This window comes from Homo sapiens, chromosome 1 (genome assembly GCF_000001405.40).
Source record: "Homo sapiens chromosome 1, GRCh38.p14 Primary Assembly".
NCBI lineage: Eukaryota > Metazoa > Chordata > Mammalia > Primates > Hominidae > Homo > Homo sapiens.
In genome coordinates this window covers 31271341-31297860 of record NC_000001.11, presented here as the reverse complement: position 1 = coordinate 31297860, position 26520 = coordinate 31271341, and the positions used below count along the sequence as shown (strand labels likewise).

Below are 26520 nucleotides of genomic sequence, written 5' to 3'. Positions count from 1 at the left end.
TTCCTCCCAAGTGCCTCAGGGCTCTGAACAAGTAGTTCTCTATGGAAGGTTCTGCCTTCACTTCTTCACCTAATTAATTACAACACTTCCTGCAGCTACCAGCGCAGGCATCTTTTCCTCTGAAAAACCTTCCTGCTTATTTCAGGCACTCATAGCATCAGGCAGCAGTAGGAGGCATTTCCATGTATTAGTGAGGTCATTGTTTAACGTTTTCCCCACCAGAGTTAAACGCCCTGAGAGTAGGGACCGTGCCCGGTTCACAACATACCCCCAACGCGCTGCTAAATGAATATCAGCAGGACGACTGAGGCAATGACCACGTTCATGGGCATGAGTCTCAAATTTCTCAACAAGACTGTGCTCTGGAGAAGGAGTCGGACATTTCCTTCATCACTGTCTCTCTCAGGGGGGCATACAGTAGGCCCTGATCAAAAACTGCAAAATCAGTGGCAGAAACAAGTCAGCCTCCTCGGCCAAATGGGGCACCGGAGGAGGCTGGGACGCAGGCCTTTCTCCCTGGGAATGCCCGGCACAGGACTGGCCACGATGGGCGCTCTTGAAGAAGGGAGCCGCAGGGGCTGGGTCTTGCCGCCAGAGACCCCAAGGCTCCGCTCCTGCCCCGAAAGGGAGCCCAGGCTACTACTTACCACAGCTGGGGACTCGGGGCCCGCCTCCCACCCCTTGCTGTCAGCACCCTCAGCTGAGAAGGGCAGGTTCAGACTGCACAACCGAGGCGTCGCCTCCAGACTCAGGCAGCCACCCACCCCGTTCTTCCTCATACGTACTAGGCGTCAGCTCCAGGTCCCCGAGTCGCTGCGCTGAACTAAACGCCGACCCCAGTCAGCCAGCGCGTTTCCACCCACAAGACCCAGCGCGCCTAGGGCGGTCGCCAGCTCCGTCCACCAATCCTGGTATCGCACTCTCATGACGTCAGAAAGATATGCCCAATAACAAGAGACTATCCGAGGGCGGTGCAAATGGAAATATTGAAAGCCGATTGGTTCTTCCAAGCTGGAAGTTGTGGAGGAAGGACTAATTTGGAACCAATTGCGTGGCGCCTGAGAGCGGCAGCGCGGTCAGTGGCGGCGCTGAAGAGACCGGTTGCCGCCATGATAGAACAGCAGAAGCGTAAGGGCCCAGAGTTGCCGCTGGTTCCAGTCAAGCGGCAGCGGCATGAGTTGCTGTTGGGAGCGGGGTCTGGCCCAGGAGCCGGGCAGCAGCAGGCGACGCCGGGAGCCTTGCTGCAAGCGGTAAGTGAAGAAGCAGGCGGCCTTTGGCCCTCAGCTCATCTTCCTCCCCTCAGAGCGCTGTATCTGGTGATCCCTGACCCTTTCCCGCATTGCGGGGGCAGAACGAGAGTTTCTACGCAGAGTTAAAGCACATAAACACTGTAAAAGCTCCCCATAGCCTGCGAATGCTGCGTACGTGTTCCCCCGTTTGGCGCCCGTTTTCAGCCTCTCGACTGCCCTGAGATAGCATTAGAATTAGAGTTGAGGACCTTGGGCTCAAAACCCTGACCCGGGTTTAAGCATCCTGACTCTAACATGGATCTGGCATAGAACAAAAATTCCGAAGAGTGTGTAGAATGAATGAATGAGGGAGGGAAGAAAAAAGGGAAATGATTTGTGTTGGCTCGTTTTGGGACTTTGGGCAAGTTGCTTTTCCCTTTATTTCTCTGCACTAGTATTATTAACAACTAAATAGCAGCTAACATTCATTGACTCTTGTACTAAAGTGTTTCGTATATGAAATTTCCATTGATCTTGGTAGCAGCCTGTTAGGAACGTTATTAACCCATTTTGCAGATGGAAAAACAGACTTACCAAGTACGTGATAGAAGCAGATTTCGAACTGAGAAACCATGCTCCTAACTACATTTTTTGTAAGATAGAAATAGTGATCACACTTCTAATGTCCTGTTTAGGCTCAGACGAGGAAATACGAGTGTCCTCACATCTCCTCAATAAATCCTGCTGGCACCGTCCTCAAAATAGGTCTAGAATTGCTACTTCTACCATCTCCATCATTGCCTCATGGCCTAAGCCATTATTATCTCATCTGGCATTTTTGTAGTGGGACCCTAACTGGTCTTCCACTTTCTACCTTTGTATCAGCACCTGTTACCAAGCCAATAACCAAAGGAATCCTTCTAAACATCAGATCACATTACACTCTGCAGAAAACTTTCTGGTGGCTTTGTACTTCATCCAGAGTAAAAACCAAAATTCTTGTAATTATTTGCCCTCTTTCCCTTTACCTCTCTGACCAATTTCTTATTGCTCACCTGGCTTCAGTTACTCTCTCTTCCAAGCCTCTGCTTCAGGACCTTTGCATTTGCTGTCCTCTCTGTGGGATTGCTCTTCACAAATGTTTACATGGTTTACTATTCAGCTCCTGCGAATATTTGCCCAAATGTAATTTTTTCAGTGAGGATTTTCCTGACCACCCTATTTTAAATTGCAGTACCACATACTGTGGAACCCACATTGCTTCTCTCTCTCTCTTTTTTTGTTTTTTTGTTTTTAGACAATCTCTCTGTGTTGACCACTGGCTCAGTACAGCCTCCACCACCTGGGCTCAAGTGATCCTCCTGCCTCAGCCTCCTGAGTAGCTGGGACCACAGACACACACCACCACATCTAACTAATTGTATTTTTTTGTAGAGACAGGATTTCACTCCTGAGCTCAAGCAATCCGCACACCTTGGCCTCCCAAAATGCTGAGATTACAGGCATGAGCCACCATCCCCATCCCTTCTTTTGCTCTATAGCACATGACACCACATATATAGTTTGCTTGTTTTCTCTCACCTTCCCTTCTCCCTTCCCCCTTTCCCACTGGAACAGCGAGCTCCATTGTTTATTTTGTTCATTGCTGTTTGCCCAGTGCCTAGCACGTAACTTCTTTTTTTTTTTTTTAAGATGGAATTTTGCTCTTGTCACCCAGGCTGGAGTGGAGTGGCGCAATCTCGGTGCACCGCAACCTCCGCCACCCGGGTTCAAGCGATTCTCCTGCCTCAGCCTCCTGAGTGGCTGGAATTACAGGCGCCCGCCACCATGCCTGGCTAATTTTTGTATATTTTTAGTAGAGACGGAGTTTCACCATGTTGGTCAGGCTGGTCTCAAACTTTTGACCTCAAGTGATCCGCCCACCTCAGCCTCCCAAAGTGCTGGGATTACAGGTGTGAGCCACCGCGCCCAGCCTGCACATAACATTTTTTAAAACTAAATGAATCTGGCCGGGCTTGGTGGTGGGTGCCTGTAATCCCAGCCACTCGGGAGGCTGATGCAGGAGAATCGCTTGAACCCAGGAGGCGGAGTTTGCGATGAGACGAGATCACGCCATTGTACTCCAGCCTGGGCAACAGAGCAAGACTCCTTCCCCAAAAAATAAATAAATAAATAAATAAATATGAAAATGCTGGGAAGTACTGAAGAGATTTGGGGATTATGGGTAGTATACTTCTCCCATTTGACAAGTGAGCATATCAGCCCATGTTTAGATGAATTGCCCAAGTGTCATCTTGGTGTCCAAGACCATAATCAAAACTACTTCACCCATGCTGAGGATCCGTTTGCTATGAAAAAATAAGAAATAAAAATAGGCCAGGTGCAGTGGCTCATGCCTATAATCCCAGCACTCTGGGAGGCCAAGGCAGGCAGATCACATGAGGCCAGGAGTTTGAGACCAGCCTGGCCAACATGGTGAAACCCCATCTCTACTAAAAATACAAAAATTAGCCGGGCGTGGTTGTGCATGCCTGTAATCTTGGCTGCTCGGGAGGCTGAGGCACCAGATCCCTTGAACCCAGAAAGCATAGGTTGCAGTGAGCCGAGATCACACCACTGCACTCCAGCCTGGGTGACAGAGCAAAACTCTGTCTCAAAACACACAAAAAAAATTAAAAATAAAACAAAACTATTTCACCCAGTACTCCATACCAAGCAGAGTTGTTGGGAAAGTCAGTTCCATCATTTGTTAAATGAGCCAGGCCAAATGTGGTGGCTCATTCCTATAATCTTAGTGCTTTGGGAGGCCAAGGAGGGAGGCCAGGATTTTGAGACCAGCCTAGGCAACGTAGCAAGACCTCATCTCCACAAAAACTAAAAAAATTAGCATGGCATGCTAGTTCATGCCTGTAGTCCTGGCTACTCAGGAGGCTGAGGCAGGAGGATCACTTGAGCCAAGGAGTTTGAAGCTGCAGTGAACCATGATCACACTACTGCAGTCCAGCCTAGGTGACAGAGTGAGACCCTATCTCCAAAAAAAAGTTGGTCGTACAACAAGAGCTGAGAGAGTGAACAAGAGAGTCATTATAACAGGTAGATAATGGAAAGTTTCAGAGAGTGTCAAGTTGGAGGCATTCATATGAGAAGAGCTACCATTCTGTAAGTCAGATGAAACCCACTTAATCATTGTTTTCTTGGTCTTTTCCCTCCACTCCCCACCCCCTAATTTTGTAGCCTCCTTTGTCTGTATGCAGTAGTTACCTTGTGCTTCTCTTTTGTTTAGGGACCTCCAAGATGTTCCTCCCTTCAAGCCCCAATCATGCTGCTCTCTGGACATGAAGGGGAAGTCTACTGCTGCAAGTTCCACCCCAACGGATCCACCTTAGCATCTGCAGGATTTGACCGACTGATATGTGAGGCATAGTTTTTGAATCTGGAATAATTTTTCCTGCCAGATAGTGATTTTTTTTTTTAAATCTTGGGTGCCACAGAAGGTATCACTCTATGTTGGCAACATAACAGGCTGCATGGCTAATATGCTAAAATTGGGGCATGAACATGCTGAATGATCTTGGGTGTAGAACTTGGAGTCCATGGGGTAAATACAGAAGCCATTATTTTACTAGTTGGAAAGTGAGTTGTTCTGGTTTGAGAATGTCTTCCTCATAGAGGCAAATCTCCAGCTAATTTACCAAGGCACTTAGCAATCTAGACATAACAGGTTAATGGCAGTAATGAGGAGAGAAATAACTTTTATTTTCCCAAAGGTATAAGGTCCTCTTAATTCACACCCAGAATCCTAGCTAGCATATGGGAAGGAAGGAATCCTAAAGTGGTAACTCCCTTAAATAATCTACCTGTACATCATTAGGATCTACTACCAGATTTCCATTTTTGAGAAATAAGAATTTCTCATACCCATTTTTGAGAAGTAAGTAGAAAAAGTCGTTTTATTTATACTCCAGCAAATGAAGCCAGAAGGAAAAAAAATCAGATGCTTCTGTTGCTACTTTCTTGCCAGATTATGAGATGAAATGAGTTATTTGGCTCTTTTCTGTTAACTCTTTTCCTCGGTGCCGGGTGGATGATACCCGTCTTCACTGCCCATTTTGATTTGGATGTTCCGGCTCTATGATCCTTAAGCTTACTAGTGGCCAAACGTCTGGATTGCTTAGGGATCTTTGCAGAACATATATGAATTATTGATAGGCTTAATTTCATCAGACAAACTACATAGTTTTTTTTGTTTGGTTGGTCGGTTGGCTTTTTAGAGACGGAGTCTCACTCTGTCACCCAGGTTGGAGTGCCGTGGCGCGATCTCGGCTCACTGCATCCTCCGTCTCCTGGGTTCAAGTGATTCTCCTGCCTCAGTCTCCCAAGAGCTGGGATTGTAGGCGTCTGCCACTACACCTGGCTGATTTTTTTATTTTTATTAAAGATGGGGTTTCGCCGTATCAGCCACGCTGGTCTCGAACTCCTGACCTCAAGTGATCCACCCGTCTCGGCCTCCCAAAGTGCTGGGATTACAGGTGTGAGCCACCGTGCCTGACCTGAGAACTGTTGTTCTGATAAATTTATAAGTACCCTTTGCCTAGTAATGCTCACAGAACCCATCTCCCTAACAGTACTGTGGAATGTCTATGGTGACTGTGATAACTATGCCACACTGAAGGGACACAGTGGAGCAGTGATGGAATTGCATTACAACACAGATGGCAGGTGAGTATTCTGCATAATGGAAGGACAGCTTCTCATACTAATTCTTGGCGTCCTTTCACCTTTCATCCTTTCTCAGGAGACCCTGCTATCAAAAACTACTAATTTTGGGTAGCTACTTTAGTATCCGATTTATCACTGTCACCCCAAGTGAGGTGTTTATAGTCTGTGTATGCAAATATAAAGATGTTACATCGGTCATTTCAACAACCCAGACAAATTTTTCTTTTTTTAAGACATAAAATAAATGTGATTTTTATATGTAGGCTGGAGTGCAGTGACACAAACATGGCTCACTGCAGCCTCAACCTCTTGCTCGAGGGATCCTCCCACTTCAGCCTCCCAAATAGCTGGGGCCACAAGCCCACGCCTCCATGCCCAGCTAATTTTTAAAAATCATTTGTGGAGACATGGTCTTGCTATATTGCTCCTGAGCTCAAGCAGTCCACCTGCCTCAGCCTCCCAAAAATGCTGTGATTACAATAATTAACCACCATGCCTGGCCTGAAATCAGCTATTTCTATTATAAAAATCATTTCTTTTGAGAAACCAAAAAAAGCAGAAAGATGAAAAAATAGTCTATATTTCTACCACTCCAAAGATAATCAGTGTTAATTTTTTTTTTTTGAGACGGAATTTCACTCTTGTTGCCCAGGCTGGAGTGCAATGGCACGATCTCGGCTCACTGCAACCTCCGCCTCCCAGGTTCACGTGTTTCTCTTGCCTCAGCCTCCAGAATAGCTGGGATTACAGGGATGCATCACCGTGCCTGGCTAATTTTGTATTTTTTGTAGAGACTGGGTTTCTCCATGTTGGTCAGGCTGGTCTTGAACTCCCAACCGCAGGTGATCCGCCCACCTCAGCCTCCCAAAGTGCTGGGATTACAGGCATGAGCCACCGTGCCTGGCCAATCACTGTTAATTTTATACATTTTTCTAATGCCTTTTTTTCTACTCAGAACTGTTTAGTTGTTGCATATTTGTTAGAACTATGTGTACAATCTTTTTTATTTATTTATTTATTTTATTTTATTTTTTTGAGACGGAGTCTTGCTCTGTCGCCCAGTCTGGAGTGCAGTGGTGCGATCTCGGCTCACTGCAAGCTCCGTCTCCGGGGTTCACACCATTCTCCTGCCTCAGCCTCCTGAGTAGCTGGGATTACAGGTGCCCGCCACCATGCCCGGCTAATTTTTTTGTATTTTTAATAGAGATGGGGTTTCACCGTGTTAGCCAGGATGGTCTCGATCTCCTGACCTTGTGATCCGCCCGCCTTGGCCTCCCAAAATGCTGGGATTACAAGTGTGAGCCACCGCACCTGGCCAGAACTGTGTGTACAATCTTATTTGCTCCTTTTTTCTCTTAACATTGCTCAGCCAACATCTGATGTCATAAACGTCATTTTAATGACTATATTATTTTAGAATATATTATAGATAATATAGAAATCTGGCTATACAAAAGTAATTACATTGTTAGGTAGTCTGGTAAACATTCATTGTTTTACATTTCTGACCTCTAAAATCTTAGGGTGCTCCATCAATTGATACATAGCATTGTATACATTTTAAATAAAGCATTAGAAAGCTGGGCCTGGTGGCATGTGCTTATAATCCCAGCTATTTGGGAGGCTGAGGCAGGAGGATTCCTGGAGCCCAAGAGTTCAAAACCAGCCTGGGCAACACAGTGAGACTCCATCTCAAAAAAAATGAAAAAAGAAAGCATTATAAGATCAGTTATAACTTAGAAATCATCCTCAGAGGCTGGGCGTGGTTGCTTACGCCTATAACCCTAGCACTGTAGGAGGCTGAGGCAGGAAGATTGCTTGAGCCCAGTTCAAGACCAGCCTGGGCAACATAGTGAGACCTTGCCTCTACAAATGATTTTTAAAAATTAACTGAGCATGGTGGCACAGACCTGTGGTCCCAGCTACTCAGGAGGCTGAGGTGGGAGGATCACTTGAGCCCAGGAGGTCGAGGCTGCAGTGAGCCATGATTCCAACCCGGGTGACAGAGCAAGATCTCATCTCAAAAAAAAAATGAAAGAAAGAAATTGTCCTCAGAGACAAAAGAAAAACTTTGGTAAAGAGAAAAGATTGGAGTCACTCAGCTGTCAGGTCGGTACCACAGTCTGTCTGATCTCTGCAGCACCAGGGAGTTATTAAACATTTCCAAGTGAGAGGGTGTCTTATGTTTAAAATGTTAGCTATCACAAAAGAGGAAAAGATAGAGCAAACTGCTACATTAGATGTATGTCATGGGGACTCAAAGAAGGGGAATTTTTTAAACTTCACAGGGGTAGATCTTTTATCTGGGCCATCTGGGCCTAGAGGACAAATAGGATTTTGGTAGGGTGAGGCATTCCAGCATCATGGGCAAACTGGCGTAGCACAGCAGGTCAGTGATCTTGAAAAATTTGGCACCTTTTGTCAAGTAGGAAAGATAGATTGTTACTGTTTATCTTCACTTATTTCTTTTTTATTCTTTCTCTTACTTTCTAGTATGCTTTTCTCAGCATCCACAGATAAAACCGTGGCTGTGTGGGATAGTGAAACAGGTGAGAGGGTTAAAAGGCTAAAGGGACATACTTCCTTTGTGAATTCCTGTTATCCAGCCAGGAGAGGCCCTCAGCTTGTCTGCACTGGCAGTGACGATGGCACAGTTAAGGTGGGTATTGTCTCTCCGTGTTCCAGTTTCTGAGGTGATGTGATGTGAACCTTATCTTGCCTTGCCACTTGTACTCTAGCTTCCTGTGCAAAACTTAATTTTAGCAGTCATCTCCCATAACACACTTGAAATTTTTCCCCATTTAAAATAAAACATTTAATACAAGTTTTAATTACCCTACAGAATAATAATAGAACCATAGAATAAATTGTTACTTGAAATAGGCCGGGTGCTGTGGCTTACGCCTGTAATCCCAGCACTTTGGGAGGCCGAGGCGGGTGGATCACGAGGTCAAGAGATCAAGACCATCCTGGCTAACACGGTGAAACCCCGTCTCTACTAAAAATACAAAAAATAAGCCGGGCGTGATGGCGGGCACCTGTAGTTCCAGTTGCTTGGGAGGCTGAGGCAGGAGAATGGTGTGCACCCGGGAGGTGGAGCTTGCAGAGATTGCACCACTGCACTCCAGCCTGGGCGACAGAGCGAGACTCTGTCTCAAAAAAAAGAACTGTGACAGTAATATACGTGTCTTTCAAGGCTGTTATGAGTATCTCCACCAACAGGGAGGTAGCAAAAAAAAAAAAAAGGCTGTTCTGAGATTATAGACAATATATAAAAAGTTCAGTGAATAGTTTTAGTATGGCACAAGATGGGAACTTAAACATCGTTTAGTCAGATGGTTGCCAGCCTATCTTTATATCATCATCACCTGAAGAACCTGTTAAAAATACCCAAAGAATCTGGTTCAGTGGATCTGCAATGGGAATCAGATATTTTAATGTGTCCTTCAAGTGATTCAGTGTAGCCAGTCTCACATTCTGGGAGCCACTGATCTCACTGAGCATCCTCATTTTATAAATAAGGAAACTGAGGCCTAGAAATAATAATTTATCTCAGAGGCACACAAGGACACAGTACATCATAGTACCAACCATTTGATTCTCTCTTTGACACGAATTTTGGGCTCTGGTTTATATTTTAATTGTTAAACAGTGAGGGACTTCAAAAGAGTACATCTGGGAAACTACACCCCCATACTTCTTATTGCTTTTTAAATGAATTAATGAATTTGCTTTTTTTTTTTTTTCTTTGAGACAGGGTCTTGCTCTATCGCCCAGGCTGGAGTGCAGTGGCACAATCTTGGCTCACTGTAGCCTCCACCTCCCGGGTTCAAGTGATTCCCCAGCCTCAGCCTCTTGAGTAGCTGGGATTACAGGTGCACACCACCATACCTGCCTAATTTTTCTATTTTTGGTAGAGATGGGGTTTCACCATGTTGCCCAGGCTGGAGTGCAGTGGCGCAATCTCAGCTCACTGCAACCTCTACCTCCTGGGTTCAAGCAGTTCCCCTGCCTCAGCCTCCCTAGTAGCTGGGACTACAGGGACCCATACCACGCCCAGCTAGTTTTTGTATTTTCAGTAGAGGCAGGGGTTCATCATATTGGCCAGGCTGGTCTCAAACTCCTGACCTTGTGATCCGCCCCCCTCGGCCTCCCAAAGTGCTGGGATTACAGGCGTGAGCCACCACACTTGGCTGAGACGTTTTTCTACTGAGTGGTTTTCTTATACCTAATCACTTGGGGCCCCTTGATGGTTGGATGGGAGGAGAGTCTGTTGTTTAAGATTGGTTTCTAAACCAGAGCTCTGACCTAGATGTCACTGTAGTTGGAGAGTCTTAACAGTAGCTGATTTACTAATTGTCATTTCAGAAGATAGTAAGAGGTGGAAATGCCCCAGTGAATTTTGTTAACATTATTATTGAGGGCCTGCTGTAATAAATATCTAGGAACTATTTAGGTAGTAGAAAAAGAGTATATGTCCTTTCTGTCTGCCTTCTTTTGGTTTTTTGCTTCTCTTCTGCCTTAATTAAACATGATTTGGAATAGTTATTTTTACCTTATTACTCAAGTTAATACTTTTTTTAATAAGCAGTATGTCACATCACCTAAAGATGACTGCTTTTTAACCAGCTCCTATTTTTAATGTCAGTATATTTATATTTAAGGCATCATTAAACAGCTTTTTGCAATGTACTTTTCAGTTACTTGTGAAGTTGGAATGCTTTGTGTTCTTGTATTTTTGTTACTAGGTTGCAAGTACAGGAATTGAATAACTTCAGTTTAAGAGGAAAAAAAGTCATGTTGCTTTTTACATGTCAGAGTTCTTAACAGAAAGCAAAGGTTTCCAACAGCACTTGCATTTTTAGTCTAAAAGCATTCTGGGCATTATTCATACAGATCGTTTTCAAACTTTTTATCAAGTGCATTCTTCTAATAAAATTAAGTGAAATACTGCGTGTATGTGTGTATGTACTCATATATATATAAATTTCCCTTTCATGAGCAGTTCAGTCCTAAAGCCAGTTATATAGGCCAAAGCAGGGAAGGTGCTCTAGTTAGAGATGGGCCAAGGTGGCCCAGAGTAGAGTGTCAGAGCACAAGTGTGGTAAGGAGAGCATCCACACTGGGCAGGGCAGTACATTGTAGGGAGTAGTCAGAGAGTGAGGAAGGCATCCATACAACACAGGGTAGGTAACCAGTGTGGGGAATTTGAGGGTGAGGGAGGGGCAGCAGCCCAACAGTGCCCTAATGGGGTGAAAGGGTCGCCTGTACGTGAAGCAGTACGGGGAGAATGTGGATGTCAAAGCCTGAACTGAGGGCATCCACACAGGGTAGAAATGATTTGGTGTAGGGAGTCTGAGACTGAGCAAGATGATGACTGCATGCTTGGAGAAGTGCAGACTGGAAAAGAGCCGTAGCAGAGTGATGAGGGTGTTCACACAGAGGAATGACCCAAGTTGGTTAAGGAAGAGTCACACATGGCTTCAACCAAGAATGGGAATCACAATTCAAGTAGGGAAGGGTGGAAGAGAATATGGGAAACTGGTTGCATGCAGGAAGCATAATCAAATAAGTGAATATATTGAATTTAATGGGAGGCTGATTTCTCTGTCCAAGAACAGAGTTACCAGTACAAAAGAGAAGACTAAAATGAATCTTGTGTGAGGTATAAGTGTGAACTCACAATATTCAATATAGAAACATATAGAAAAAAATAGACATAAATGTGTGAGTGTGTGTGTGTGTGTACCTAAATGTACATATATTGCCTGACTGTCCACTGAAAAGGTTTAGGAGCAACAAGACCCCAATAGCAATAGCACCCCTTACTGCACAGGTACTGTTTTCCATTAAAAGGAACCAGGGCTCCTATTTCAGCCCAGGGGCAGTGAAAGTACAAGATAAGCCTTGTACTTGTCAAGGCTTATTTTGTCAAAAGAACATCCTAACTAAATTATCAAATCGACCTAATTAGTAATGGGACAAGACAAAATCATGAACCATTTGCTAGGATACAACAAAGATGCAGCATCATTTCTGTGATATTCCTACCAAAGATGTATAACTTAAATCTAATCAAGAGGAAACATAAGACAAACCTAAATTGGGGATGATGACCTGTAACTTTCAGAAGTGTTGAGTTCATAAAACTCAAGGAAAGTTTGAGAGAGTCTTGCAGACTGGAGTCTAAATTTAACATATGATTCCAGACTGAATCCTTGTGCAATAAGACATTTGGGATAACTGGTAAAACTTGAGTGGGATTTGAGGATAAAATGGTGATAGTGTATCTGTATTTCTTGATTTTGATGGTTATGTTGAGATGATGTAGGAGAACATCTTTGTAGGACAGACACTATTTAGGAGTGATAAGGGGCCAGGTGCAGTGGCTTATGCCTGTAATCCTAGCACTTTGGGAGGCCTAGGCAGGTGGATCACTTGAGGTCGGGAGTTTGAAACCAGCCTGGCCAACTTGAAGAAACCCTGTCTCTACTAAAAATACAAAAAAGCCGGGCATGGTGGCAGATGCCTGTAATACCAGCTACTCAGGAGGCTGAGGAAGAATTGCTTGAACCCGGGAGGTGGAGGTTGCAGTGAGCGGAGATCACGCCACTGCACTCCAGAATGAGCAACAGACAGAGTGAGACTCCCATCTCAAAAAAAAAAAAAAGGTGATAAGGCATTGGGTAAGCAACTTACTCTCAAATGATTTAGACCAAAAAAAGTGTTCTTTTTACTTCCAAGTTTTCTATAAATTTATGATTGCTTCAAAGTAAAATAATTATTAAAAGTGGTAGTTATCTGGAACTAAAATTCTAAATTATTTTAAACAAACTTTGACTACCATGACTTTTAGGAGAAAGACAAAGATAGATTTGACCTGAGTGAAGTATCTATTGAGACAAAGATTATAGTACAGTTTATAAAATATATAGGATCTAAATTATTAAGGCCTTGAATTCCAGGTTAAGAAGTTTGGACTTGATTCTGTAACCACAGGAGTTGGGGGAGTAGGAGATGTTGGGCATGTAGGAGAGGAGTGAAGCGTTCTTTTTAGACCATTTATCTGAGTAATGAACTAATTTTTAGTTCGTATTTACATGAACAAAGAAGAAACTACTTTTCATCCTAAACCATGAGAATTGGGAGGAAGAGGCATCTTGGCACAGATCCTACTCAGACTCTCCTTGTTGACTACAGGATTGAAGTTAAGCCTATGACCTTCCCTAAAGTTCCATGGCTGATTCCTTTCTTTTTGATGCCAGCCCTTTAAAACTTGGAACAGTCATCCCAAAGTCTCTTTCTTCTGAATGAAACGACCCATACTTTTAAATCATTTACTTGTGGTTCATCTTCTCAAGTGTGTCATTCATTTATTGAAACATCTCTGAGCCCTCTCTGTGTTATCCACGCTTTAAAAAAGTAGAGCTATAAGGGTTTGTTTGTTTAAGAGATGGGGTCTTGGCCGGGTGCAGTGGCTCACGCCTGTAATCCCACCACTTTGGGAGGCCAAGGTGGGTGGATCACCTGAGGTCAGGAGTTCGAGACCAGCCTGGCCAACATGGTGAAACCCCCGTCTCTTCTAAAAATAGAAAAATTAGCTGGGCGTGGTGGCGCATGCCTGTAATCCCAGCTATCCAGGAGGCTAAAGCAGGAGAATTGCTGGAACACGGAAGCAGAGGTTGCAGTGAGCCGAGATGCCGCCACTCTCACCCAGGCTGGAGTACAGATCCGCAATCACGGCTCACTGCAGCCTCAACCTCTCTGGCCCAAGCGATCCTCCCATCTCAGCCTCCCAAGTAGCTGGGACTATAGGCATATACCACCACACCCAACTTTTTGTTTTTATTTTGTAGAGATGAGGAATCACCATGTTGCTCAGGCTGGTCGCTAACTCTGGGCTAAAGCCATCCTCCTGGCCTCGGCCTCCGAAAGTGCTGGGGTTACAGGCATGAGCCACCATACCTGGCCCTCTAAGAATTTTATAGTTTTAGCTCTTACATTTAGGTCCTTGATCCATGTTGAATTAATTTTTGTGTATCATGTTAGGCAGGGGCTTACCTTCATTCTTTGGCATGTGGTTAGCCAGTTGTCTTAGCACAATTTGTTGAGAAGACTACTTTTTCCTTCTATATGGACCATAGTTACTTGCTTCTTTGCATGCCTTATATTTTGTTGAAAACTAGGCATTTAAATATTATAGCGTGGTGACTCTGGAAATTAGGTCCCCAGAGCTGCTTATTGTAGTTGTTTGTTTAGTGACTTTCTGTGGGTTGGGGTAAGGTGAGAGTGGTTGGTTGGTTGGTTTTTGAGACGAAGTCTCGCTCTGTAGCCCAGGCTGGAGTGCAGTAGTGCGATCTTGGCTCACTGCAACCTCCACTCCCCGGGTTCAAGTGATTCTTGCACCTCAGCTTCCTGAGTAGCTGGGGTTACAGGGGCACACCACCATGACCAGCTAATTTTTGTATTTTTAGTAGAAACAAGGTTTTACCATGTTAGCCACGCTGGTCTTGAACTCCTGACCTCAAGTGATCCATCCACCTCGGCCTCCCAAAATGCTGGGATTACAGGTGTAAGCCACCATGCCCGGCCTGTTTAGTGAATTTTTGAACTAATTTTGTAAAGTTTGTATTCTTTGTCCTGTGTGACCACTGAATTCTTTTTTTCGTTAGCTTAGTGGTCAGCTAGTGAATGACACAAGTTTCCTAAATTACCTACAACAACAAGAACAAAAATTCTCCCAGTCTTTGCAGATTGTCTTTTTGTATGTTGGAGCCTGCCTTCAACTCCTTGCCATGCAGTTTACATCTCTCCTTAGCTTTCACTTCCTGCTTGTGCAGAGCCTGAAGGTGAACCAGAGAGCTTACGGCCTTCTCAGATCTTTTCTAAGTATGTGCCCAGCCCTGGACATGCAAGTGGTCTAGATTGCCAGGAATGGGCCAGGCGTGGTGGCTCATGCCTGTAATCTTAGCACTTTGGGAGGGTGAGGCAGACAGATCACTTGAGGCCAGGAGTTTGAGACCAGCCTGGTCAACGTGGCGAAACCCTGTCTCTACTAAAAATACAAAAATTAGCTGGGCATAGTGGCACACGCCTGTAATCCCACCTACTCGGGAGGCTGAGACATGAGAATTGCTTGAGCCCGTGAGGTGGAGGTTGCAGTGAGCCAAGATCGCACCACCGCACTCCGGCCTGGGTGACAGAGGGAGAGTCTGTCCCTAGATAGATAGATAGATAGAGATTAGATAGATAGATAGACACATAGATACATAGATAGATAGATATAGATGATAGAAAGATAGATAGATAGATAGATAGATAGATAGATAGATAGATAGATAGATAGATAGATAGCCTAGGCGACAGAGGGAGAGTGTGTCCCCAGATTAGATAGATAGATAGATAGATAGATAGATAGATAGATAGATACATAGATAGATAGATAGCCAGGAATATGTCGGTGCTTTTCGAAGCTCTTATTCCCCAAATTGTCTCCTTCCCCAGCCCTTCCTCCCAAGGTTTTTGGTTTGTATTTTTGCCCCAACTGTTTTTCCTTGCCCCCAGGAACCAGAGGCTAATAATGTCCTTTCCTTTAAATGTTTTCAAGGGAAGTTCCAAGTTAGGCAAAATAAATGTAAGTCCTTTGGGCTCATCCTTCAGAGAGCCACCAGACAGGTAAAAATAAACAATTTTTATTGTTTATTCTTTGACAATAAGAAATAGGCCCCCTTTGCTTCCTCAGTACTAGGAAACCATACTGGGAATATGGGTTATCTTCAAAGCTGTTGCTGAGCAGGAGACAGAGCCAGCACAAGTTAAAACACTACAAAGCCCTTTTACTGGGACTCAGGGAGTTTTTTGTTTCCTTTTTCCTCATTAAGGGTTTGCCGGGTTACTATAAACTTTTGATTAGTTTTGAGAGTTCCAACAGTTGATTCTGACAGATTTTGCTGGTTAATTTGCTGCTTTCGTGGAGGGACAAGCTTTTGTCATTGTTTATTATACTATTTTCACTGACATACCCTCTATTTTTTTAAATGTGGGTTGCAGCCTACTAATGAATTAGTCTCTACGGTTTGAAAAAATTGTCTGATATCCTTGTTGTTCTAAAAAATATATGAACTAAGTAGTTAGGGGAATTCCATTCTAAGAGTATGTTGATTTAACTCTGTTCACTTCAACAAAGAAGTCTGAAAATATAACCGAAGTTTTGTTTCACCAGCCTTCAAATGTCTTGGCAAAATTGAGCACACTGCTTACCATGTGTGTTATTAGGATATCCAGGAGTTAGTGATATAGGATCCCAATTATAGATGTGTTCATGTCCACAAAGTCCTCGTACTTAAGGGATATTTGTACTGTGCAATTGCTTCTTAGAATGATGTTGCTGATAGACTGTCTTGTCCTTTGCTTCAGCTTTGGGACATCCGGAAGAAAGCAGCCATCCAGACATTTCAGAACACGTACCAGGTGTTAGCTGTGACCTTCAATGACACAAGTGATCAGATTATTTCTGGTGGAATAGACAATGATATCAAGGTATGTTTGATGTTTATGATATATTTCCATTTCATCTATCTGCACTTAGAAACGAATTTTTTCAAACTTCTGAGATTGTGGTAGCTTTGCACTTAATACCAACTGAAAGGAAAATAGTAACTTGGAACTTATTTTCTTTTTCTCCTGTCTTCATTGACTTCCTAAATTAAAGTTTGCATTGCAGATCTTATAAATGCTGTCAGGGACCAGGCACTTAATGTGAAGTGTGAAGTCTCTGTAGGGGGACTATGTAAAAAATAAAGAGTGCATTTCCTTTTAAAGACATTCAAAATCTTTTTTTAACCATCTTGGTTTAAAGAGAGCAGTGAATCAGTTTGTGATTCTGTATCCTCATCTCTCACTGTGTTTTTCTTTTTGACACTATGGAAAGAGAGTTTTCTAAGTTTCTCTAAGAATGAGAGAAGGTAATGATATTAAAGAGGCAATAGACCATATGGCAGTAGAGTGTAGCTCAAACTTTCAAGTAATTGACTTGGGTTCTAATCCCAGTTTCACCATTTTCTAGTTTTGTGACTTCAAGCACCTTCTTTAAGCCTCTTTTTCTTGTGTGAATGGTGAGGGGGTAATGATAAAAAAAAAAAAAAACAGTAGCATCTACCACATACCATTGTGGGGATTAAATGAGCCTGATTCATTAGAGCACTTAGCAGAATTCCTGGACATAACAAGTGCCAGGAAATGTATTATTTTGGGCCTGCACAGCTTCTGTCTTCCTTTCCTCTTGGCTTCCTTGGGGATCTTAACGACTTTGACCTTACCTTCTGCTTTATAGTAAGAAGAGTAACTGTCAGATACTCAACTTTCTGTGTTGTCCTTACCTAGAAGTTGTACTGTATTTCCATCCCTCATTGTTTCCTTTGCTGTTACTTTGGATGAAATATCCTTGCTTTTGGCCAGGTGTGGTGGCTCACACCTGAAATCCCTGCACTTTGGGAGGCCGAGGCGGGTGGATCACAAGGTCAGGAGACCGAGACCGTCCTGGCCAATGTGGTGAAACCTCGTCTCTACTGAAAATACAAAAATTAGCTGGATGTGATGGTGGTGTGCCTGTAATCCCAGCTACTCAGGAGGCTAAGGCAGGAGATTACTTGAACCTGGGAGTCAGAAGTTGCGGTGAGCTGAGATCACGCCACTGCACTCCAGCCTGGCCACGGAGCAAGACTCCATCTCCAAAAAAAAAAAGAAAGGAATATCCTTGCTTTTGTCTAAAGGTAGTCCTTTTTTTTTTTTTTTTTTTTTGAGTCAGAGTCTTCCTCTGTAGCCCAGGCTGGAGTGCAGTGGTGCTATCTCAGCTCACTGCAACCTCTGCCTCCTGGGTCCCAGTTCAAGCAATTCTCCTGCCTCAGCCTCCTGAGTAGCTGGGATTACAGGCACGTGCCACCATGCCCAGCTAATTTTTGTATTTTTTAGTAGAGACAGGGTTTCACCATGTTGGGCAGGCTTATCTCGAACTCCTGACCTTGTGATCCACCTGCCTCGGCCTCCCAAAGTGCTGGGATTACGGGTGTGAGCCACCGTGCCCGGCCTAAAGGTAGTCCTTTAAATGTGAGGGTTTCAATCCTTCGTCACTTCTTTCAACCTCTTCTTTTCTACTTTTCTTTTTTTTGAGACAGAGTCTCACTCTGTCGCCCAGACTTGAATGCAGTGGCGTGATCTTGGCTCACTGCAACTTCTGCCTCCTGGGTTCAAGCAATTCTCTTGCCTCAGCCTCCTGAGTAGCTGGGACTACAGGCGTGTGCCACCATGCCTGGCTAATTTTGTATTTTTGGTAGAGACAGGGTTTCTCTGTGTTGGTCAGGCTGGTCTCGAACTCCTGACCTCAGGTGATCCACCCGCCTTGGCCTCCCAAAGTGGGATTACAGGCATGAGCCACCATGCCTGGCCCAAAACTTCTTAAAAAGGATGATGATGGTGGTGGTGATAATATTGTTATCATCATTATCTAACACATAGTGCTTACTTTCTGCCAGTTGTTGTTCTCAGAGCTTTACATCATTAATTCATTTAAGCTTTGCTATTGACCTCCTCACGGATCTTAAAGACTTTGACCTTACAACCTCATGAAATAAATCCTACTGATGCGATTGTACAGATGAGGAAACTGAGCTAAAAGAGGCACAACAGCTTAAACCCAGGTTACACAGCTAATACGTGATGGAACCTCAGTTCAAATCCCAGAGTTTCATTCTAGAATTATACTCTTAATACTTAGAGGAATACCCTGGAGATTTTTCTGCACTCACTGTCTTCAGTTCCTCACATACCATTCATTCTTCATTCCTAATAGTCTGGTTTTTTTTTTTGTTTTTTGTATGTGTTTTTGTTTTTTAACATAATCGCTCTGTACCATAGACCTGGTCTTCTCTCTTCCCTGAGTTCTGTGACAACAAACTGTCCTATCCATCTGGTAGTTTCTTCTCCTTCTCTACATACCATTATGAGCTACTCTGTCTGTGGAGTCTTTAAACATCATTATTCGCCAAGGGCCTTTGCTTTTCTCGCTGTGTACATTCCCCAAGACAGATCTCGTCTACTTCCACAACTCCATCATCCCTCTGCCGAAGACAATTTTCCCACCCCAGATCTTAAGCATCAGGTCCTTGTGTACAACTAGCTGTACAGTATCCCCCATTTGAATGTCTCATAGGTACCTAAGAATTCAGGTTTTCCAAAATTGAACTTCCCATCCCTTTTCCATCATATAAATACTTGGAGAATGAAGAATCAGAACATGGAAACTTAGATCAACTTTAATAGCTGTGCACAATATTTCCCAGAATGGAGTTGGGAGCTCACTGGCGTCAGAATCACTAGAAGACTTCTTGTACACATGAAAATAGATTAATGTCATCAAGCTATGATAACTTTTATACTTTTCAAGACATGTAAATTTACATACAGTGAAATAAACATTTTTGGTGTACAGTTATAAGAATTTTAATGTTTGCATAGATTCACTACCACCAACAGAGTACCAAATTTGATTGATGCCCTCGTCTCCACTGTGAGGATAGACTAACCTAACAATAATACTCTTGTGCTAGTAAAGTCTACTTACTGTCAATAGTATGGCTTACTTTGGGCTCTTTATCTGGACTGTTCCTGGGCCTTCTAAAGACAATAGTGCTATACAGCACAAATTCTCACAGCTTAAATAAAAGAAGCTAGCCTCAAAAGGTTTTATATATATGTATAGGATTCCTTATATTCTCAAAAAAAATCATAGGGCAAAGAAGAGATCAATAATCAGCAAATGTTAGGGATGAAGAGGTTTGACACAAAGGAGAAAAATTAGGAAATTTTTGGGGTGATGAAAATTGTTCAGTACTCTGTTGGTGATAGTAAACTAAAAAGTGTTTGCTGGGCGTGTTGGCTCACGCCTGTAATCCAAACACTTTGAGAGGCCAAGGCAGGCGGATCACTTAAGGTCAGGAGTTCTAGACCAGCCTGGCCAACATGGCAAAACCCCGTCTCTACTAAAAATACAAAAATTAACCAGGCATGGTGGCATGCGCCTGTAATCCCAGCTACTCAAGAGGCTGAGGCACAAGACTGGCTTGAACCAGGGTGGTGGGGGTTGTGGTGAGCCAAGATCGTGCCACTGCACTCCAGCCTAGACGACAGAGAGAGACCCTGTCTCAAAGCATTAAAAAAAAGCTAAAAAGCGTTTAATCCGTCCACAAACATTCAAATTTTTCTGCCAATGCTTCATTTTCGGGGAATTTTTTTAATTAGAAGTGCACCCAGCACTGAGACAGTCTCCTTGTTTGTGTACTGTATATATTGTATTCTCTTTTCTAAACAAAAAATCAGTATAGACTTTTCCTAATTTGTCTGCTTATTTACCTTAAATGTTTTATGCAGATATAAAATTTGCATTCAAATATATGTTTAACAAATCAACTTTATTGGGAATAACATTATTAACAATTAATTACAATTAAAATAGATTTAGTAATAAAAGTGATACTTTGTATATTAAAGTGCAGAAAATGTAAAAGAATTATAAAAATAGATAAGTCACTGTAGTTTCATCATCCAAATTCAGTCACTCTTACTATTTCACAGTGTACTTCCTTCAAGTCTTTTCTGTACTACAATGTTTTGTATGTAAACATTATAATATTCATTCTTTAGATGATGCTTTTTTTCTTTTTTCAAGAGAGAGTCTCGCTCTGCCGAGGCTGGAGTGCAGTGGTGCAATCATGGCTCACTGCTGCCATGACCTTCTGGGCTCAAGCAATTCTCTCACCTCAGCCTCCCAAGTAGCTGGGACTATAGGTACATGCCACTATGCCCAGCTAAATTTTTTTTTTTTGAGACGGAGTTTCACTCTTGTTGCCCAGGCTGGAGCGCAATGGCACAATCTCAGCTCACTGCAACCTCCACCTCCCGGACTCAAGTGATTCTCCTGCCTCAGCCTCCCGAGTAGCTGGGATTACAGGCAGCCGCCACCACGTCCCACTAATATTTTGTATTTTTAGTAGAGACATGGTTTCACCATGTTGACCAGACTGTTCTAGAACTCCTGACCTCAGGTGATCCGCCCACCTCAGCCTCCCAAAGTGCTGGGATTACAGGAGTGAGCCACCACGCCTGGCCAGTTTGGTTCGTTTTCGTTTTTGTTTTTTTAGAAATGGGTTCTCAACACATTGCCCAGGCTGGTCTCGAACTCCTGGCCTCAAGCAGTCCTCCCTCCTTGGCCTCCCAAAGTGTTGGGATTACAGGCATGAGCCACTGTGCCCAGCCATGATCTCTTTTCACTTATTATCACATAGCTGCTCCTTTGTCAGGAATCCCCCACCCCCACCTTTGATGCATTGCTGTGACTTGCCTCTTATCTTCAGATCACAGCATAGATATCTCTTCTGGAAAGTATATCCTTAACTAAGCCCACCTCTAGTTGCTCTCTATCAAATCATTCTTATTTTCTTAGAATTGTAGTTAGAATCATTTTCCTTTCCATTTTTTTGCTTTATTTTGAGGTCTCACTCGTGTTGCCCAGGCTGCAATGTGGTGGTGGAATCATAGCTCACTGTAACCTTGAATTCCTGTGCTTAAGCGAAGTTGGGATCATTTTGCAATTTGCCAATTAATTGCTAGCTTTGTGATCTTAAAAAAGTTGTTTTAACCTCATCTCCATTTCTTGTGTCTAAATGGGAATTGTCAGCTCACCTCATATAATTGTTACATTAATTAAATGAAGTAAGGATATAATATTCCTAGCACCGTGGCAGGGACATAGTGTGTTCAATATATGTCAGCTGCCATTATCATCATCATTTTTTTATTATTACAGTATTAAATAATTTAGTGACAACCATGTCATTGGACATTTAGGCTGTTTCATGTGAATCATTATCACAGATTATGCTGCTATGGACATATTTGTGCATGAAACTTTTTCTGTATTTGTTTTCTTAGAATAGATTTCCAGATGAAAATTAATGTGTTTTAATAAGTATAAGGATGTTTCATATTTGGGATACAGGCTGCCATATTGTTTTCTGGCAGGAGCAGTTAATACAATGTTTGAAACCAGGTTGCTAGAATTATTTCTTTATTTTTGCTCTTGTATAACAGAGATGGACTGGAGAGAGTTGTATATGTGTTAGAATTTACTTAGAAGGTAGTCTTTTCCCTATTAAAAATACCCTGCTGATGGCCAGGCACTGTGGCTCATGCCTGTTATCCTAGTACTTTGGGAGGCCAAGGCGGGCAGATCACTTGAGGCCGGGAGTTCCAGACCAGCCTGGCCAACGTGGCAAAACCCCGTCTCTACTAAAAATACAAAAATTAGCTGCGCGTGGTGGCACACACCTGTAGTCCCAGCTACTTGGGAGCCTGAGGCACGAGAATCGCTTGAACCCGGGAGGTGGAGGTTGCAGCTAGCCAAGATTGCACCACTGCACTCCAGATGACAGAGTGAGACTCTGTCCTGATTAGAAAAAAAAATACCCTGTTGTTACATGCAGAGGGGAGAGTAATTGCTCTCTCGAACTCAGGAAGACTCTTAGTTGTCCTAAAAGACCTCATAAATTTCTTTAAACATGCAAAGGAGAGGCTCCTTTTCAATCAGAAAGACTCAGGAAATGTCAAACCTGAAAAGAACCGTAGACATCACCTCCATCCCTCACTTTATAGGTGACTGAAGTGAGGCCCTAAGAGGTTAAGTGATCTGGCCAAGATCAAATAGTCATCACTCAGTCAGTGGTAGAGACGGGACCAGAGCTCTATCTCTAGAGGGCTAATAGTCTTGCCACTCTGTCTTGTTACCTCTAGTCAATTAACAAGCACCTTTTAAGCACCTAGAGGCTTACCAGTCTTGAGCCCTTGTGTGACAAATCACCATACTGCCTCACTATATTAGGAGATGCTCCTCAGAGAGCCTGGTTTTTATTTGTTTCTCAGTCTATCTTAGGTAGCACTGCCTGTTCTAAGAAAGAGAAACAAATAAGGAGTGGGAACCCTTTTTAAAATCTGAGTTAAACAAATTCTGTGTATATTTGTGAGCAGATAATGCTGTTCCCACCAATCTCTTGGAACTTCCTACCTGGTAATAGGATTGGGGAGTCAGAGGAAAATGAAGAAAGAAGAAAATGTGTCACTTGAGAGCCTGATGGTCTGGCTGGCAATCTGGCGTTTCTTGTAATCCTGAACTCTAGTTAGGATGGGAGTTCAGTTTGGTTTTTTTTTTTTTTTTTTTTAATGTAATGGTTAAAAGGATAGATTAGGCCAGGTGTAGTGGCTCATGTTTGTAATCCCTGCACTTTAGGAGGTCTCATCCCTTCAGTTATTAAATATATAGGCCAGGCCAGGCGCGGTGACTCAAGCCTGTAATCCCAGCACTTCGGGAGGCTGAGGTGGGCGGATCACAAGGTCAAGAGATCGAGACCATCCTGGCCATGGCCAACATGGTGAAACCCCATCTCTGCTGAAAATACAAAAATTAGCTGGGTGTGGTGGTGCGCGCCTGTAGTCCCAGCTACTCTGGAGGCTGAGGGAGGAGAATCACTTGAACCCGGGAGGCAGAGGTTGCAGTGAGCCGAGATTGCACCACTGCACTCCAGCCTGGCAACAGAGGGAGACTCGGTCTCAATCAATCAGTTAATCAATGGGTCAGAAGGATCTTTCCAGAATATACAACTGAATGTCTCATTTTTCTATTTTGAACCCTTCTTTGACCCCCCAGTGAAGGAAATAAAGTGCAAGCCAGGCATTCAAAACCTTTCATGAGCTGGCCTCTGCCTGTCTACCTCATCATCTGCTGCCTCTGGGTGCCTAATCTCCTACAATCCAGCAGTGTTTTTCATGCCCCTCTACTTCCATAAATTATCTTGTCCTAGTAAATACCCTTCCACTTTGTCTAAGTTAAAAAAAAAACAAAAACAAAAAAAAACTTCCTTCTTCCAGACCCTGCTCAGGTGCTTCATTTTCTGTGAAAGCTTCCCTTTCTCACTCTCATCTCTGTTCCACCAGAGCTAAACCCTCTGACCCGTATGCAACTGTACCTTGCATAGGCCTGTCATTACTTGTTTAAACGTCTTAAGTTTTCCTTGTTATACTGAACACTCCTTGTGAGCAGGGCCATGTCTTTTTTTAATCTCCAGCAGTACCTGCCACTAATCAGATGCCCAGATTTTTCATTGAACAGCTGAGTAGGATACTTGCAAAATGTTTTGCTTAAATTCCTGCTGTAGATTTTTTTTTTTGAGACAGAGTTTTATTCTTGTTGCCCAGGCTGGAATGCAGTTGTGTGATCTCGGCTCACTGCAGCCTCCGCCTCCCGGGTTCAAGTGATTCTTCTGCCTCAGCCTCCCGAGTAGCTGGGATTACAGGTGTGCACCACCATGCCCGGCTAATTTTTTGTATTTTTAGTAGAGACGGGGTTTCACCATGGCCAGGCTGGTCTTGAACTCCTGACCTCAGGTGATCCAACCACCTTGGCCTCCCAAAGTGCTGGAATTACAGGAGTGAGCCACCCCTGCTGTAGATTTTTTTTGTGGCAAATCCTGGATACTTTTTTGGCCCTGCACAAACAAGGTGTACAGGCCTCAAGGGGGAAGTTTGGAAATAACACACAAGTTCTGTGAGGGGTTGGCAAAATGCATTCTCTCCTAGTTGTTACAAAGCTAGATTTCAACAGTGCCTTCTCAGAAGAGAAGGAACAACAGCTTGAACAAAATGTCAGATACTTCAGGCTTTCCTGATTACTGAAGCAGCAAACATCTTGATATAAAAAAATGATCGTATAGAAAATGTGTTGGGCTCCACACATGAGTGAGTTACTGATGGAGAAAGTGGAGTTGTCTGCCCTATGTATTGCTCTGCTGTGTAACACCTAACTCATTTCTAGATAAGGAAAAGTGTCTTGATTTAAGGAACAGCAAAAGTTTTATTCACTTAGAAAAAAACTACATTGCAATATGAAATAAAATTGGGGGAAAATTTGTATTTTATGTAATACCAGTGACCTTAACAAAATTACTGTTCTTTTTGCCATGTGACTTTCCAGACTATTTCTGTTAGCTTGAAAATATTTATTTTACATAGCTGTAGTCTGTGTAAAGATAAATACTGTTTTGTATTTTCCTTTTTTGCTTAATAGCTTATTATGTAAATATTTTTACATTTGGTCTTCTGAGTTATTTTTAGGAACTGCTTAACAATAGCTACACATTATTGAGGACCTGTCTTGTGCCCGGCATATGCTAAGCATTCTTATAATCCTTACAACAGCCGTAAGAAGTAGCTATTGTTATCCCTAATCTTACAGACCAGGAAACAGGCCCAGAAAGAATTAGTGACCCAATGACACATAACTCTAAGTGGCAAGGAACAGTTTATTCTTACCCTAAGTCACCACTCTTTCTACTCTGTCATGCTATCTCCTGTATGAGAATTCAGTTTTGCAATGTGCTTATGAACCATAATTTAATAAACCACCTATTTTTCCTGCTTGACGTTTAGGTTATTTTCTGTATCTTACGTTTCCTATACAAGCAATAGTGAACCTGTAATTTATTTTTATTTTAATAAATGTGCTTTTCCATAGTGTATGTGCATGTACATATCCATACATGTACATATATATACATTTATTGTCACATATTGTTACATTAAAAGAAAAATTTTAAGCATCTGTATTTTTCATATTGTTACACAAACATGTAATCATAATGCCTTTTTTAAATGACATGTTCGTTTTATGTATTTATAATAATTTTTAATGGCTAAGAATCATAGCCATTTTTAGTTTTTTTCTATAATAGTTTTTCTTTGCTATGATTTGAAAATAACCTTTCTGAATTCTATTTTTTTGTGTGTAAAACTTTATCTTAACATTTGATATGCATTCGTTTATATTTATCTAGTCAAACGTGGTAGCCTGAGCTACCTTTTTAGAAAGACAGAGATTGGCCAGGCATAGTGGCTCATGCGTGTTAATCCAAATACTGAGAGGATGAGGTGGGAGGATTGCTTGAGCTCGGGAGTTCAAGACTAGCCTGGGCAACATGGTGAAACCTGTCTCTTCAGAAAAATTAGCTGGGTATAGTAGCATGCTCCTGTAGTCCCAGCTACTGGGGAGGCTTAGATGGGAGAATCACCTGAGCCCGGGAAGTCAAGGCTACAGCGAGCCATGATAGTGCCACTGCACTGGGCAACAGAGTGAGACGCTGTCTCAAAAAAAAAATGAAAATTAAAAAAAGGTGTTTTTCTCTTTGACAGAAATCCTGTGTTTTATAGTAGAGTAATATCAGTGTCTCTGGGCAATTGACTCTTGTCTCTTGTGTCATTCTCTTTCTCTGCTTTTATTAATTTGATTTCTGGGGGCACCTTTCTGTTTTTGCAGGTCTGGGACCTGCGCCAGAACAAGCTAACCTACACCATGAGAGGCCATGCAGATTCAGTGACTGGCCTGAGTTTAAGTTCTGAAGGCTCTTATCTTTTGTCCAATGCAATGGACAATACAGGTAACTTTGGAAAGGAAATCTCTCCCAGGATCCAAGGA

The 26520-nt window shown here is 42.9% G+C and overlaps 2 protein-coding genes across 12 annotated transcripts in view, besides 2 other annotated features; one reads left to right on the top strand and one right to left on the bottom strand.

The window, feature by feature from the left end:
• ZCCHC17 (zinc finger CCHC-type containing 17) overlaps positions 1–829 on the bottom strand; it is a 67905-nt gene extending 67076 nt beyond the window's left edge. For 8 of the 11 annotated variants that reach the window (NM_001282569.2, NM_001282573.2, NM_016505.4 and 5 more), the window contains exon 1: positions 786–829. Coding sequence is in view for 1 of the 11 variants with exons in the window: in NM_001282566.2 (NP_001269495.1) it covers positions 648–779 (132 nt within the window). In the remaining 10 variants the exon portion in view is untranslated. Of the gene's footprint in view, positions 1–647 lie in introns of all 11 variants that reach the window. The other 3 variants (NM_001282568.2, NM_001282566.2, XM_047422508.1) reach the window with 2 other exon arrangements.
• SNRNP40 (small nuclear ribonucleoprotein U5 subunit 40) overlaps positions 1073–26520 on the top strand; it is a 37221-nt gene continuing 11773 nt past the window's right edge. Inside the window, exons 1-6 of the mRNA NM_004814.3 lie at positions 1073–1250; positions 4513–4642; positions 5855–5948; positions 8442–8607; positions 16365–16487; positions 26362–26482. Of these exons, the coding sequence (NP_004805.2) occupies positions 1110–1250; positions 4513–4642; positions 5855–5948; positions 8442–8607; positions 16365–16487; positions 26362–26482 (775 nt within the window). The 5' untranslated portion in view covers positions 1073–1109. The remainder of the gene's footprint in view (positions 1251–4512; positions 4643–5854; positions 5949–8441; positions 8608–16364; positions 16488–26361; positions 26483–26520) is intronic.
• Positions 1095–1304: an enhancer, noted in NCBI's record as "active region_641". NCBI's record gives its function as "activates an Ori minimal core promoter by ATAC-STARR-seq in GM12878 lymphoblastoid cells {active_cell/tissue: GM12878}" and the evidence as "EXISTENCE:reporter gene assay evidence [ECO:0000049][PMID:35858748]".
• Positions 12052–12252: a silencer, noted in NCBI's record as "peak156 fragment used in MPRA reporter construct". NCBI's record gives its function as "represses an SCP1 promoter by STARR-seq MPRAs in K562 erythroleukemia cells {active_cell/tissue: K562}" and the evidence as "EXISTENCE:reporter gene assay evidence [ECO:0000049][PMID:32103011]".